Consider the following 14,894-nt stretch of genomic DNA (forward strand, 5'->3'; position numbering starts at 1 on the left):
CCCCTTGCTGCTCCACGTCTGGCTTGCCCTTGGCAGGCATGGGATCCAGGTTGGTAGCATGAGCCAAGTGCAGCCTGACAGGCCAAGTGGACAGAATGAGCCCAGCAGGCCTGAGCAAAACTTGGGCAAAGGTGCCACCAGCCACAGAGGTTTCCAGCCAAAAAAGCAACACCCCAAGGATCCTGCAACATCATCACCCGCAGGTCATGCCCTGTCACCAGAGAGGTCACCACACTGACCCCCACCCAAGTAGGATGGCCAACTGTCCAGGTTTTAACACTGAAAGTTCCATATCCCAGACAACCCCTCAGATATGGTCTAACTGGGATGGCTGGTCACCTTACCCCCTTCCCTGCCACCTTGAGGTGGACAAATACTAATAACTCACCCTCTCTGAGCACTTGCCTGTGTGAACAGCCAACCACAATTCCCACAACTCACAGTCAGCCTGGGGCAGGAGGTTTGCAGGTGAGAAAAAAGGGTTTAGAGGTGAAATAAACAATCAGGAAGTGGGGCATCTGCAACCTCCAGGCCCTGGCTGTTACCCCAGGGACAGACCTGCATCTGCACCCTACACCCATCACACACACCCCAGGTACCCTCACACCATCACCTATCACTGACCCCACCTTCCATGCTCTTCCCCTGCCAGGGTCCTGCCTGGCCCCCACCAGCCCAGTCACTGCACACACAAGCACATGCCCCACAGGCACAGGCTTTCAGGCACACAGTGCATACGGGTACATGACTGAGGGGCCCTTCCCCCAGAGGGGTTCCCATGTTCACATTCACACCTGCCACCTTCCTGCACAGACCACCCCTTGGGGGCCTCCCCTCAACTCTTGTCTCCAGGTGTGCCATGAAGTTCCTCATCACATATAAAGGGAGAAGACAAAGTGGAGCAGAATGTTATTGTAATTATCTGTGGCAGGAACCCAGCTTTTCAGATGATGATTATAATCATTAACAATTCTCTTATCAGTGGTGGGGAGCGGGGCTCTGTAAGGAGGGCCTGGAAGCGGTGTCAGGGGAAGCTATGAATGCTCTGATAACAAGATCCAGCTCCCCTCCCGCCATTCCTAGGTAATTCTGTGGGAAGTTCTGGGGCTGGGAGTGGGGCAGGGAGACGGGAAGCTTAGATACGGGAGATGAAGAGCTGCTCTTCTGGGGACCCGCTTGACCAGGTGACCTTCATCTGCCCAGCCCAAGGGCTTTGGCTAGGCCTGAGGTAGCAAAAGGAGCCAACCGGGGCTTGGCCTCCACCATGTTCTCAGAGAAAGGGTGACTTCACTGGAATGAGGGAACTGAAAATCAGTAGGGTGGTGCAGTGAGTCTCCTGCCTGGGTGGTGTCACATGTCTCCCCTCCCCTAGCCTGTCCAGGGCTCCAATGATGGTGTGTGGCCTTGGATGGGTCACCCGCCTACACTGCAGTGCCTCAGCTCCTGGCAGCTAATGGACACCTTCCCAGCCAGCTCCATACTGCATCCACCCCAAGAAAGACCCACAAGAGCAGGGCCCTGTCTCTGCTGCCCACCTCCACACCAGTCCTCAGTGCCCAGACCAGGGCCTGGCACACAGAAGGCTCCACAGAAACACTTGAGGAAGAACCAAAAGAGCCTGTTCATGAAGAGAACAAGGATGACAGGTAGGTGCTGTTATCCCCATCTAACAGAGGAGGAGACTGAGGCTCAGAGGTGAAGTGACCCACCCAGATTCACACAGCTCATCAGAAAGGGGAAGCTGAGGGCTGCTCTTCCAGGGGGCACACAGGACCAGAACGGGGCTAGGAGCAGCATGGATCCTGGGAGAGACAGCTGAGCTGCCGTGCACCTAGATGAGAAATCAAATGTTTTACAAGGATCTGCCCCTACCTGGGAAACTCAAGCTAAGTGGGAGGCCCCAGTGATGGTGGCCTTGGGGAAAAGGAGGAGCAGAGAGGGGAGGCAGCCTCATTTGCATAAAGGCCTCACCTCTGCCAATCAACTGGGCTTTCAGGGGTGGGGATGCCAGGGCCTGGCCAGTCACCAGAAGACTGGGGGCAGAGGAGGGTGGAGCAGGGCCAGGCCCTGACCAGGTAGGCAGCCAGGCCCCGCCCCTGTGCTCCTGGCTGCTCTTCCCAATTGGCTCTTCCCTCCCTGACCTCAGTGGGTCCTCCCAACACACCTGCATCAAGGGCAGGAATAATCATCTCCACTTTGCAGATGAGGCAACTGAGGCTCAGAGAGGTCACATGACTTGCTCAAGGTCACACAGGAAATTCGCAGCAGACCCAGAACTGACCAGGTCTGAACTCCCAGCCCAGGATGCTGAGTTCTGCTCCTCTGGCTTCTTCCTGGCTGCTGCCCAGGGCCACAGGCAGGCACACCTACCCCATCCTGTCCTCTGCTACCACCAGAGCCTCCTGCCCCACCAAATGCCCCAGCCAGGGTTTAGCTCAGAGCTGCTGGGGACTTCAAGCCCACTCTCCAGCCTCCATCCCTGAGCCCAGACCCTTTTCCCCAGCTGTTCCCAGACACTGGGTCAGGGAGACACAGAATTCCGGGGCTGGCAGGGACCCCAGGAAGCCTCTGGCCCAATCCCCTGGGGTGGCAGGTGGGAGCAGTGGTCCCTCAACAGCCACACTGTGCCCCTCACCTTCGTCTCAGAAGCCCTCCAGGGCCTGGCTTGGGGAGCTGCTCTTCTCCCTGCATGTCCGCCTTGCTTCCTGCCTTATTTATTTCCCGGCAGATTATTTGTATCTAGGTCTAAGGTTTGATTTACAAACTTCCAGGGGAGGGAGGGCAGCTGGCTGCACCTGCAAGTACTAAGGTGCCTCAGTGATTTACTCTGCCGGGAAATGTTTGCTTCTCCTGAGGGATCATCTCAGATCCTCCTTATTGAAGGCTGGGATTTACTGAGGCTTCTTTTCCCTAGGGAGCTGCAGGGCAGCTTTGCAGGGATAGGGAGGTAGATGAGAGGTGGGCGGTGGGGGGAACAGAGGTGGAGGGAGCCACAGGCACCCCTATGAAGTGAAGAGTGAATCTAAACAATGTGACTGGGAGGAAGAGGATGGACTTCAGGCTCACCAGCTGGGTTTGAATCCCTGTCCCTATTACAGCCAAGGAGTGTGACCTTAGGCAGGTCACTTAACCTCTCTGAGCCTTGATATCCTCATCTGCACATTGGGCATAATCTCACAATGGCAAGAGTGACATCTGCCTACTGAGGTGGTGAGGCTTGGATGAGGGGTGCACGTAGATGCTAGACACATAGCAGGGGCTCAGGAGAGGTGAGTTCTCCCCTCTAGCCCATTGGAGGTCTCCCTTTTCCTGCCCCGACTGCCTCCTCTATGCCTGCCCCGTGGCTTTCCTCCAAGTCCCCTCCTTGCACATGCCTCTCTGCCCTCGGGGAGAGCAGAGCCTGCCAGTCACGGGTTCTGCCTCCACTGCAGTTCAGGAGAGAACACGGAGCCCCACGGGCAGGACTGGCCTGGCCGCTGCCGCTGTATGCCGGGACATCAGGCACAGGTGCAGCATGTGTCCAGGGACTGTTGGAAATACAGCCGCTTCCCTGTGGATGAGTTAATAAATCTTGAAGTTGGAAAGGGCCTTGGCAGAGTGAGGGGGCTCTGGGGCCTAAAGTTCTGCTGTGATCTAAAGGGTCAGCAGAAGTCTTTCATGTGTCTAATTTCTTTCTTTTTTTTGGTGGGGGGGTGCAGTGGCACGGTCTTGGCTCACTGCAACCTCCCCTTCCCAGGTTCAAGTGATTCTCCTGCTGCAGCCTCCCAAGTAGCTGGGAGTACAGGCGTGCACCACCACATCTAGCTAATTTTTCACATTTTTGGTTAGAAGGGGTTTCACCATGTTGGCCAGCCTGTTATGGAACTCCTGACCTCAAGTGATTCACCCGCCTTGGCCTCCCAAAGTGCTGGGATTACAGGCATGAGCCACTGCACCCAGGCAATATGTCTAATTTCTAACAAAGCGAGGTGGAACAGGGGAGGGGACTGGCCTTATTAGCTCAGGTGACCCAGAGTCTATTGAGACTGGGGAGACCCCTGGGGAAAGGAAATGGGATTCTTCCAGGCTTAACCCAGAGGCCCCAGCCCCGATTTGTGGCCTCCTGAAGGTGTCTCCAGGCCCCTAGGAACTGTCATAGTGAAGTTCAGACTATCAGAAACTAGGAAACAAGCTTCTTCCCTACCCCACCCAGCAGGGCACAGTGTCCGGAGGAGGAGGCTCTGGAGCCAGACCCCCAAGAACCCAATGGGGCCACAGAGAGCTGAGCTGGCCCTGGGCAAGTCTCTGACAGCCCCTTTGTCTCCTGAGTCTCAGTCTTCTTATCTGTAAAGTGGGAGCGGTGAGCACTCCCTTCCTCAGTTGTTGCTGGGGTTACATGACGTGAGTAAAACCCCTTCACAGTGCCTGACACACAGGGCTTCAACAAATATATGGTACTGTAGGAAGGTGGTGCCATGAGCCCAGTTTTAGGAAAGTGTGCATTTGGAAGCCATACAGCCAGGACTCAAAGCCTCCTCGGCCTCACACCAGCCCGGTGACCTTCAGCAGAGAACTTAGCCTAACGTGTTTGGATTCCCTTCCTGCAGAATGAATTAATTATAGTAATTCCCCTCTGAGATTGTTGTAAGGACTCAGTAAGATACTTATAAAGTTCTAGAATAGAGCCAGGCTCACAGAAATACTTAATAGAACTAGTTGTTTTATGGTTGTGTGCTGGTGTGGTTTCAAGGTCATTGTCCAGCCTTTTCTCTTAATGGCCCCTCCAGACCTCTGCAGGCCATCTCTGCATCACTGTGGCCAGTGAAGGACCTTGTGGTTTCCTCCGGGGTCTGCCCTGATCTCCTCCTGCTCTGACCCGTATCTCACCTTCACATACACACACACACACACACACACACACACACACACACACAAGCACACATGAACACACACACATGTGCCCTGAACCCCGTGATTCAGGAGGGCCCAGGGCCATCTTTGGATCCTTCCTGTTGACAGTACCTCTCCCTGCCCAGGGCTGCCCATCTGCACAGCAGTGTGGGCATCGGGCAGAGGCTTGGCAGGGCCGGTTCTGCCTGTCCACCTCTCCCTGAGCTGCCCCATCTGTTCATGGGGCTTGGACTCTGACAGCCCAGTGTACCCCTGGATTGAGGGGGGCTTGTTATTGTCATCCCCCACCATGCAATGGTTGTCCTGAGAGACCCTCCTTGACCGTGGTTGCAGGAAGTCTTTGATATATGGAGGCTGTCACCACACAGACACACTGTCAGGCATGCTTATAGCAATGGTGGCAGGAGCTGAGCCGCAGCCATCTCTGTGGTTGGAAGCCTGGTCTCCCTCATCCCAACTTATATGGGTCCCTTGAGTTACCTACTTGACTCATGAAGACACTTGAGCTTATGTCCCAGTCTGCTCTGTACAGAGATGAGTAAACTGAGCCCACAGAGGGGCAGGGACTTTGTCCACCCTGCCCTGGAATGCCACAGGCTTGAGGGCAGGAATGGCTTCATCCACCATTGTATCGCCAGCGCCCAGAACCAGCCTGGCACTTAGGTGCGCAATAGGCATTTGTGGAGTGTTGAATTTGTTGACTGTCACTCAGTGAGTTGGAGACACAGCCACAGCTCAGACCCACCTCCCCAATCCCCAGGCCAGAATCTCCCCAGCCCCAGCTGTTTCTCCTTTTACTGCCAGACCCCAAGACACTACCTTCTTCCTCATACATATGGACAGGTGCACCCTGATCTCAATCAGCTCAGATGCCTTACAGCCCATTCCGAGTTAACCCCAGAGAAGATGGCGAGCCTCCTGCAGGAACCATCATTTGTCATAATCTATTTGACCATGAGGAATGTTTTTAACATTTAATAAAAGTGTGGGACTCCCACTTGCTATGAGCTGTCATTGTAAATTGGAGGTAGCAGAGAGCAGTGGTGAGGACCGTGGTGTTGGGCAGGCCGGAGATCAAATTCTCTGTTCACCACAATCTGCCTGTGTGTCTTTGGACATGGCACTTTAATTCTCTGAGCCTCAATTTCCTCATCCATAAAAACGACGATAACAGCCCCTCCCCTCAGTGGATGTTGTAGGGATTAAATGAGATATCCCAAGTAAATCACTAAGCCCAGCGCCCCAGCACACAGTAGGTACTTGAGGAATGGTGGCTGCTATTATTTTATCACTAGCCAGCAGCTACCATTAGATCCTAATGACGGAGGAAATACGCAATGGACGAAGGCTGCTAGAAATGCAGAAATGCTTCTCAGGAGCACATGCGGATAGTAAAATGGTGCTCTGTTATGTGGCAGGCCAATTATTCTGTCTACAAATAGCATCTGGTACCCAGGTGAAGTCAGGGCCCCTTGCAGTCAGCACCCAGAAGTTCTGGACCCCTGGGTTGGGACCATCAGCCATTGCTATAGTCAAAACCAGAGGAGAGTTCTGACCGTCACAGTTAGGGTGGCAGTAACAGGGGCCACCGGCCCAGCCTGGCCTCCCTTCCTACCTCCAGGCCATTTCCTGAGTCAGAGAGGATAAGTCCTCCCCTGCTCACCCCTCCAACCCCAGACACTCAGGCTTGAGTGGTTCTCTTTCTTCCCAATGAATACAATATCATCTCACAGATGAACCACGGTGATGTAATAAAACTGGCTCATTACATCCCTGTACATGGAGCCATTTAATGAACACACAACTGCTGGCCCTCCATGGCCCCTGAGCCATATGCAAATAAAACAGTTTCCACAGTGTCATTTAATTAGCTGGGGAGGGCCAGGACATGGGGAGAGGGAGGAGAGAGTATGGGACAGAAGCAGAGAAAGAGGGGTAGGAGGAAGGAAAGAGGCAGTCAGGAGAGGGGCAGAGAGGATGAGGAAGGGCAGTTCTGCAGGCTGTATAAGCATGGCCCCAGGATCTACTCAGCTTCTGGTGAGGCCTCAGGCAGTTTTTACTTATGACAAAAGGTGAAGAGGGAGCAGGTATGTCACATGGAGAGAGGAAGCAAGAGAAAGAGGGGGAGGTCCCAGACTTTTTAACAATCAGATCTCACAGTAACTCATTACAATGGGGATGGAGCTAACTGATTCATGAAGATCCACCTCCATGGTCCAACACTTCCCACCAAGCCCCACCTCCAATACTGGGGTTCACATTTCAACATGAGATTTGGAAGGAAAACACATTCAAACCATATCACATACCAAGAACTTTTGCTAAAATTATCAGGAAAGAGAGAGGTGAAGCCAGTGTGGCATAACTGTGGGGATTTCCATAGGATAGCATTTGCCACCCAGAAGGGAGAGCATGGCTGAGGATTAACTCAATGTAGAAGCACTGGTCAAGAGATGGAAAGGCAAGATTATAAGATGATAGCCCTTAAGCCACTGCATTCAGCTGTGCTCAAAGCCATCAACTCTTGGATGTCTTAGTTGAATGGGCCAATAAGACACCTCATTTCTTCTCTGTTTTATTTAAACCTGTAGGGGTTAGATTTTCATCCCTGGAACTGCAAGTGTACTAATAAGGAAAGCACATTTTTGGCCAAAGGAGAAGACTTGGAATAAAGATTGACAGAAGCCCCAAATAATGCCAGTGAGCCTGCAGCACAGTGGACAAGGCAAGATGAGCCTCTGTGTATCAGACTCAGAGGGACCAAGAAGCCTTGTTGTCAGCTGGGTAAGAGGTGAAGACCAAAGTGGAGGCTAAATGACTCAATGTACTCAGTGAGACAACTTCCAGTTTCCTAGGATAGATGTCCTCCAGGGCCATCCCCAGGAGCCTCACTTCGCCCCAGACCCAGACCCAACTTTGTCCACTCCTGAGAAGTCCAGAATCAGAGGTCTTTGGCCAATCAGGACTGGAAGGGACCATTAATACCACTCATTTTTTTCTTTCCTTTTGTATGGCTAATTAATGTGTATGAGTACATTCTCGTGAATGTATTGCATTCTTATGCAGGTATAGGGTAAAAAGTCTGGCCATGTGGAGAAAGAAAATAGCCTTGATTTACAAATGAGAATGGGCCCAGGAAGCCATGTGATGCACCTAAGTTGTGGAGAGGGTTCCGTGAAATGTTGCACATACAGTGAACAATGCCTGGTACTTAACGAGTGCTGCAGAGCGTTGCCTGGTGCTGGGCTGCTCTTAGCACACTGTGGATGCCTGTCTGTTTCTGAGAAGGCTCCTGCATTGATCTCAGAGGACCTAAAGGGCAAGGACCCGACTGATTCGCCTCCTTTTCCTGGGAGCCTAGAACAGTCTCTGTGAAGAGTCCAGATTAGCAAAATTTAATGAAAAGATGAATGAAAGAGGAGTTGGGGTGGCAGTGTGTTAGGGTAGACAGAGGGGTTGTCCCAGATTCCCCCACCCCATTCCTTACACCTAAAAAGCCAGAAGTCCTCACTCTGCGGCTGGCTAATGGAATGCATCCCCACACCTGTGGAAAGTGGGTACTGTACCCCTTTTGTGGAAGAGGAGGGTGAGGTCGCCCTCTTGGTTTCCATCCAAGGCCAGCCTTCGACAGAAGCTGGGCTGATTCACATAGGTCATTTGTCAGTGCAGACCTGGCCTCAGGGGCTGCGGGACCACATTGAGGTGAGGGCAGCAGGTTCCTAGGAGCAGGGGTTTCTTCTCTGCTCACCACTGTGTCTGGACTCAGTTATTCCTGCTGCCCCCCACGGCGTCTCCCTGCCCACACACTCTGCAGGAGCCCCTGTGTTCTGCAGGCCCCACACCTGGAAGTGCCCTCCTGTCTCTGATCACTTTTGAAGAATACAGTTAGTACACATTCCATTTCACAAAACGCTCCTCTTGATATCTGTCCTGCTCACAAGTGTGAGCATAGGCTAACCCACTCCTCACCCACTCTCACCACAATGTCTCAGCACAATCTGCCCCCTCGCAGAGGCACTTCAAGCAATACTCAGCAGATGTCAGCAGGTGGCTCTGGCCCTCTGGTCTTCATGCTGGGACAAGGCGGTCATAAAAACTTTTGCTGGTTCAACCTTCATCTCAAATCTCTGCACAACGCACCACCAAAAACAAAAAAACAAAGCCCCTTACATGATGGGTCATGTTGGGTTTTTTTTTTTTGTTTGTTTGTTTGTTTGTTTGTTTGTTTGAGATGGAGTTTTGCTCTGTCGCCCAGGCTGGAGTGCAGTGGCAGTGGCATGATCTCGGCTCACTGCAACCTCCGCCTCCTGGGCTCAAGCAGTTCTCCTGCCTCAGCCTCCCGAATAGCTGGGATTACAGGCACATGCCACTAAACCTGGCTAATTTTTGTATTTTAATAGAGACGGGGTTTTACCATGTTGTCCAGGCTGGTCTCAAACTCCTGACCTCAGGTGATCCACCCGCCTCAGCCTCCCAAAGGGCTGGGATTACAGGCAAGTCACCACACCCGGCCAGGTCATGTTGTTTTTGAGGAAAGCCATGGATGGGGTGGGAGGGAACATTTACAGATAGGGAATGTTCAGGAGTTAGATAGACTTGGGTTTGTGCCTCAGACTTACCAAATACTGGCCGCAATAGTAGTGCCTACCTTGCCTGGAAGATCAAGAGCTCAAGTACATGGAGGAAATAGGGATTTCTTTAGATTTCTGCTTCTACAACAGAGTAACAGGAGCTGGATTATTCTCCCACCTGAAGCAACAGAAAAAACAGACAAAATATATTTGAAAATGCTTTGCAAAACATTTGACATCAGGCAACAAAACACAGTGATCCCTGAGAGATGGGAAACAAATAAAGTGAGCCTCACGATTCCTCAGCTTACTGCCTGGAGTGAGTTTCCTAGACATGGTGTAGGGACTCAGAGTCCAGATGGAGTCTGGAGGACTCTCTGAGATGAGGAGATGGAGCTGAGAGTCTAAGGAGAGTTCACAGGACAGAGGAACAAAAGGAGGGGCATTGCACAGAAAGAACTCCAGAGATCTGTGCAGGATCCTCCTGAAGTCTTCAGCTGAGTAGCAATCAGTACAAGCATGTGGGGAGACCGCCTGAGGATGGAGAAAGAATCATTCTGAAGGGTTAGAAGGGGAAGTCATCTGTGACGCTTACGCAGTGCTGGGAATAATACAGTTTCCAACCAGCCAGACTGGAAAACGTCATAACTCATGGGGTACTCGGAAGGATCTTGCCTTAATAATGGGGAAAAATTAGTCCTAGACTGAACACTGCTCTGGCCTGCCTAACAAGTCTTAAAAATGACAGCCAAAAGGATCAAGCTATTTTTGAAAAATAATTTACATCTTAGAACACATACTATAAATATTTACAGAAAAAACAAAAATATCCAGCATGCAATGAAGGAGAGGAACAGCAAGAGGATATAACAAAATTATGAAAACAAATGTGGCTGAGAAATTTCCAAATTTGACAAAAATTATTAATTCGGAGATCCAAGAAGTTCAATACATTACAAGCATTTGAAACATGAAAAAAATGATAGCAAGGCACATCACAATCAAATTATTCAAAACCTATAAAAGTTGCCAGAGAGGCGAAAATTACAAATTAGGCATAAAGAAGCAAAGATAAGGATGTAAAAACAAAGAAAAGGGTGACAATAGATTTCTAATCAGAACACTGTAAATAAGTGACATTAGGGGACAGGATAAAGCAAGAGCCTCTGGAAAGTCTCATTAAAAAAAGTAAGAATACTGGCAAAAATTTTCAGAATAAATTTTTCAGAACTTGGAAAATTAACCAAAGGCTTGCTGCAATCCAGGGCACATTTGTTCAGGAAAAAAAAGTGATCTTCGTAAGACAGTGGGCTTTGAGGCATGTTATCTGGCTGTAGTCCCATCCCCTGCTCTCCAGTTTCATGGTAGCCTTGAATATCAATAGTCCAGAGTCACAGGGAAGCCAGCAGTCTGGCAGCCAGGAGAGAGCAGAATGGGGTTGGAGTTTCTTCAAAGCCACATTCTCAGATAACTGGTTATTTCACCTGTCTGGTGGTTCCCTGGAAGATCCCACTTGTAAGGCTGTCTTTATTTTACCTGAATCAGAGCTCACCCAGTATAAAACAAGCAAACAAACAAACAAACAAACAAACAAAAACCTTTTTAGGGAAGCAATTGTCAAAAACAATTGCAGCCAATCATTTGGCTTGGACTGCCTGAGACAGTGACAGTGGAAAACAGTTGGGGTAAGTAACATACTAACCCAAAAGCTTAAAAGGCAAGACTGGGGAATGAGTTGTTCATAGGGGCTCTGAAAAGCTCCAAGGTATTCCTGGGAATCTAGAATGCCATGAGCATATGTAGGGTTATGCACATGCTCAGGAGAGACCCAAGAAGATGCTAAGCTCTCACCTCTGGCTGACTTTGAGTCTTTGAGGCTTTGTGAAGGCTAAGGCAAATAAATAAACTGCCTGGTTACGGGCTGAAGGCAAGACCCAACTCTCACACAGAGCTCCTGCTAGAGACTTGGAGACTTATTTGTTCTAGGCTGAGACAGTGGTAAACGCGGTAAGCAACAGACTAACCCAGGTATTTAAAATACGTTCGAATAATTCAAGGAAAATGTAAGAACAGTGCTTCACCAAATAAAGAAAAGCAACAAAGGTATAGAAATTATATTTTTAAAAAAGGATCAATATAAATCCTGAAATTGAAAAATACAAAAACTGAAATAAAAAAAATTACTAAAAGGGCTCAACAGCAGTTTTAAGTCGGCAGAAGAAAGGATCAGTAAACTTGGAAAGAGGTCAATGGAGATTTTGCAGTCTGAGAAATAGAAAAGTAAAAGAATGAAGAAAAATTAGCAGAATCAGAGATCCATGGGACACCATCAGGTATATCAACATATGCATCACGAGAATCTCAGAAAGAGAAAAGAAAGATAAGTGGACTTCCACCTCTCCTCTCCCACCTTTGTACTATTGTTGTATGTTTTACTTCTACATGATTTGTAAATATTACACTACATCATTAATTTTGTTCAACAGGTCAGTATTCTTGTGTGTGTGCATGTATGTGAGTAAATAACTTGTTCCTCTATATAGCTGAGCTGTATTCTCTTATATCTATATCTATATAAATAATGGCCAAAACTTCTCAAATCTGATTTTAAAATATTAACCTACACATCCAATAAAGCCCAACAAATTCAAAGTAGGATAAACTCAAAGAGCTGCACACACAGACACAGCATAGTCAAACTGTTGAAAGACAAAGAGAGAAACTTCAAAACAAGAGAAAAATGATTCATCATGCCACAGGTATCCTCAATAAGATCAGTAGCTAACTTCTCATAAAAAACTATGGATGCCAGAAGACGTGGGATGACATATACAAAGAACAGAAGAAAAGGAAGGTTAATCAAGAATTCTATGTCCAGGAAAACTAACCTTCAAAAATGAAGAGGAACCTAAGACATTCCCAGATAAACAAGAATCGAGAGACACTATTCCCAGCAGATCTACTGTAAAAAGGGATTCCTTTAAACTGAAATAAAGTGACCCTAAACAGTGACGTGAATCCACATGAAGAAATCAAGAGCACTGTCAGGTAACTACACAGGTGGTGCATGTGAGAGTCTCCCCTCTACTTCGATCACTATACTCCTTACTTCAGCTAATACATCAGCCTTAGGCTTCCATTTCAGCCCTTACTCACATCCATCCCTTCAATTCCATTCCCACGTCCATTCCATTCCCACTGTCATTCATTCATTCATTTATAAAAAGATGTATTTATATATCAAAATATATCCATTTGAATATTTTACTAGACAACATTTGTTTCATGGAGATATCCTGAAATCCCAAATCAAATTCAATTGAAGTATATCTTGGTATTCTTGCATTCTGTCTTGAATTTTAGTAAAATTGACTCTTTTGAAAGTTATCATAGCATATACATAAATTTGAAATCCTGTAAAGGCTATATACAAAAGAGGGTCTTCAAGTTGCTTATAAAATTAAACATACATTTCCCATGTAATCCAGAAATCCTCCTTATAGATATTTACCTAAGTAAATTGAATACTTCTGTTCACACAATAATATGTACATGAATATTTATAGCAGCTATATGCATAATTTCCACAAACTGGAAACTACCAAGATGTCTTTCAAAAGGTGAATGCAAATGGTGATATATCCATGTAAGAGAATACTGCTCAGCTATACAGAGGAACAAGTTATTTATTCATACACATGCACACACATGAGAATATTGACCTGTTGAACAAAATTAATGATGTAGTGTAATATTTACAAATCATGTAGAAGTAAAACATACAACAATAGTAGGAAGGTGGGAGGGGAGAAGTGGAAGTCCACTGCTATAAGGTTCTTAAAGTCTGTGAGAAATAGTGTAACATCTCGGGCAGACTGTGCTAACGATGTCCACTATAAACCCTCAAGCCAATACTAAAATGCAAAACATAGAGTTATAGTTAACAAGCCAACACAGAAGACAATATGGAATCATAAGTAATATTCAATCCAAAAGAAGGCAGGAAAAGGGAGAAAGGTATACAAATAACAGCTAGGACAAATAGAAAAACAACGAGATCTAAATTTTAATCACCATGACGATCTCCTTTTCCAGGGAAGGAAACCTAGACACAAGGAAGGAAAGGAGCCTGCCCAAAGTTATGGAGCGAGTTGGGAGTGGGCCTGGCCTTCAGCTCAGCCTGTGGGGCCTGCGCTCATAACCTAATGGGGAGCTTCCCCCTGGCTAAAGGCCTGGAAACTTCTGTTCCCCAGCATTTTGCCTCCTGCCAGATCTCTTGGTCCATGTGGGCACAGGGCTGGATGGGGCCACAGCAATGATCTGTTCAACTCCTTCATTTTACAGCTGGGGAGACTGAGGCCCTGAGAGGCAAAGGGGCTTACCAAAGGTCATGTCCTGAAGTAAGGCCACAGCTGGGATCACAACCCAGCTGCCGGCCGGGTCTCTCCCACCTCCCCCACTGCCAGGCTCTTTGCTGCCGCTCCGGGGTTCCTTCCTTCCCCCCACAGACTGCTGTGGCGGCACCTGCCCTTGATTTTCCCTCATGTCCCAGCAGACGTTAATAAAAGTGCTCATCATTGCATTTGAATCATCTTGGAAATGCTCCTGGGGTGCTTTCCAGGAGCCATTTATTCGAATTTCTTCCTCTGTATAAGTAGGTTCAGAGTCATCTGTCTTCCATAATCAGTAAACACCGGGCTTCTGACAGTATTAGTGACTTCTCACTTTTCAGAGGGCTCTTGGCCCATCAGAGCTGGGAAGCCCATTAGGGATCACTAGTGCATGCTGGGGAAACTGAGGCTGGGAGAGAAGGGACATTCTCAAGGTCACCTTGCAGGTGAGGAGCTGAAGCAGAACCTGAACCCGGGTGTCTGGGCTCCTGGATTCTGCTCTTTCACCACAGCTTGATTGCACCTGCCAAGCCTCAAATGTGGCTTTGAGACCCAATTTCCAGGTGGGGTCATGATGTCAAGGTCACCTTGTTTCTGTCTCTGAGCACCAGGCCATGATTATTTTTTTAAAATAGCTTCATAAAACAAATGATTCACACTGTTTGTGAAACATTCCATTGATACCAAAATATAAAGAAACAGACTGTAATGAGCACCCTGAAGCAATGCCACAAGCTTTTGGGGGAATATTTTGCTAATCATCCCTGGCTGGTTGTTCTTCATACCCTCATTCATTCTCCATCTCCTCCTGTCCAGCTCTGCACCAGCGACGCTGCCCTGCATGCACTATGTCAGGGATTCTAGCGACAGCTGGCTTCTGCTGGGTTCAGCCAATGGGAGGTGCTGCCAGGAGACCAGAACATAGGAGGAGAGAAGGTCAGGGTATTTTTTCTTGCTCCCTCCTGGATTCAACTTCATGTCTGCAGGTGCAGGCTTATGCAAGGAGCAGGTAGTCATGGTCGGGGGAGACGATGATAGAGAT

The 14,894-nt window shown here is 48.5% G+C and overlaps 1 annotated feature.

The window, feature by feature from the left end:
• Nucleotides 1-295: a silencer, noted in NCBI's record as "tiled region #9119; HepG2 Repressive non-DNase unmatched - State 24:Quies, and K562 Repressive non-DNase unmatched - State 23:Low". NCBI's record gives its function as "represses a minimal TATA promoter and a strong SV40 promoter by Sharpr-MPRA in HepG2 and K562 cells {active_cell/tissue: HepG2 | K562}" and the evidence as "EXISTENCE:reporter gene assay evidence [ECO:0000049][PMID:27701403]".

Source organism: Homo sapiens, chromosome 1, assembly GCF_000001405.40.
Source record: "Homo sapiens chromosome 1, GRCh38.p14 Primary Assembly".
Taxonomy (NCBI): domain Eukaryota; kingdom Metazoa; phylum Chordata; class Mammalia; order Primates; family Hominidae; genus Homo; species Homo sapiens.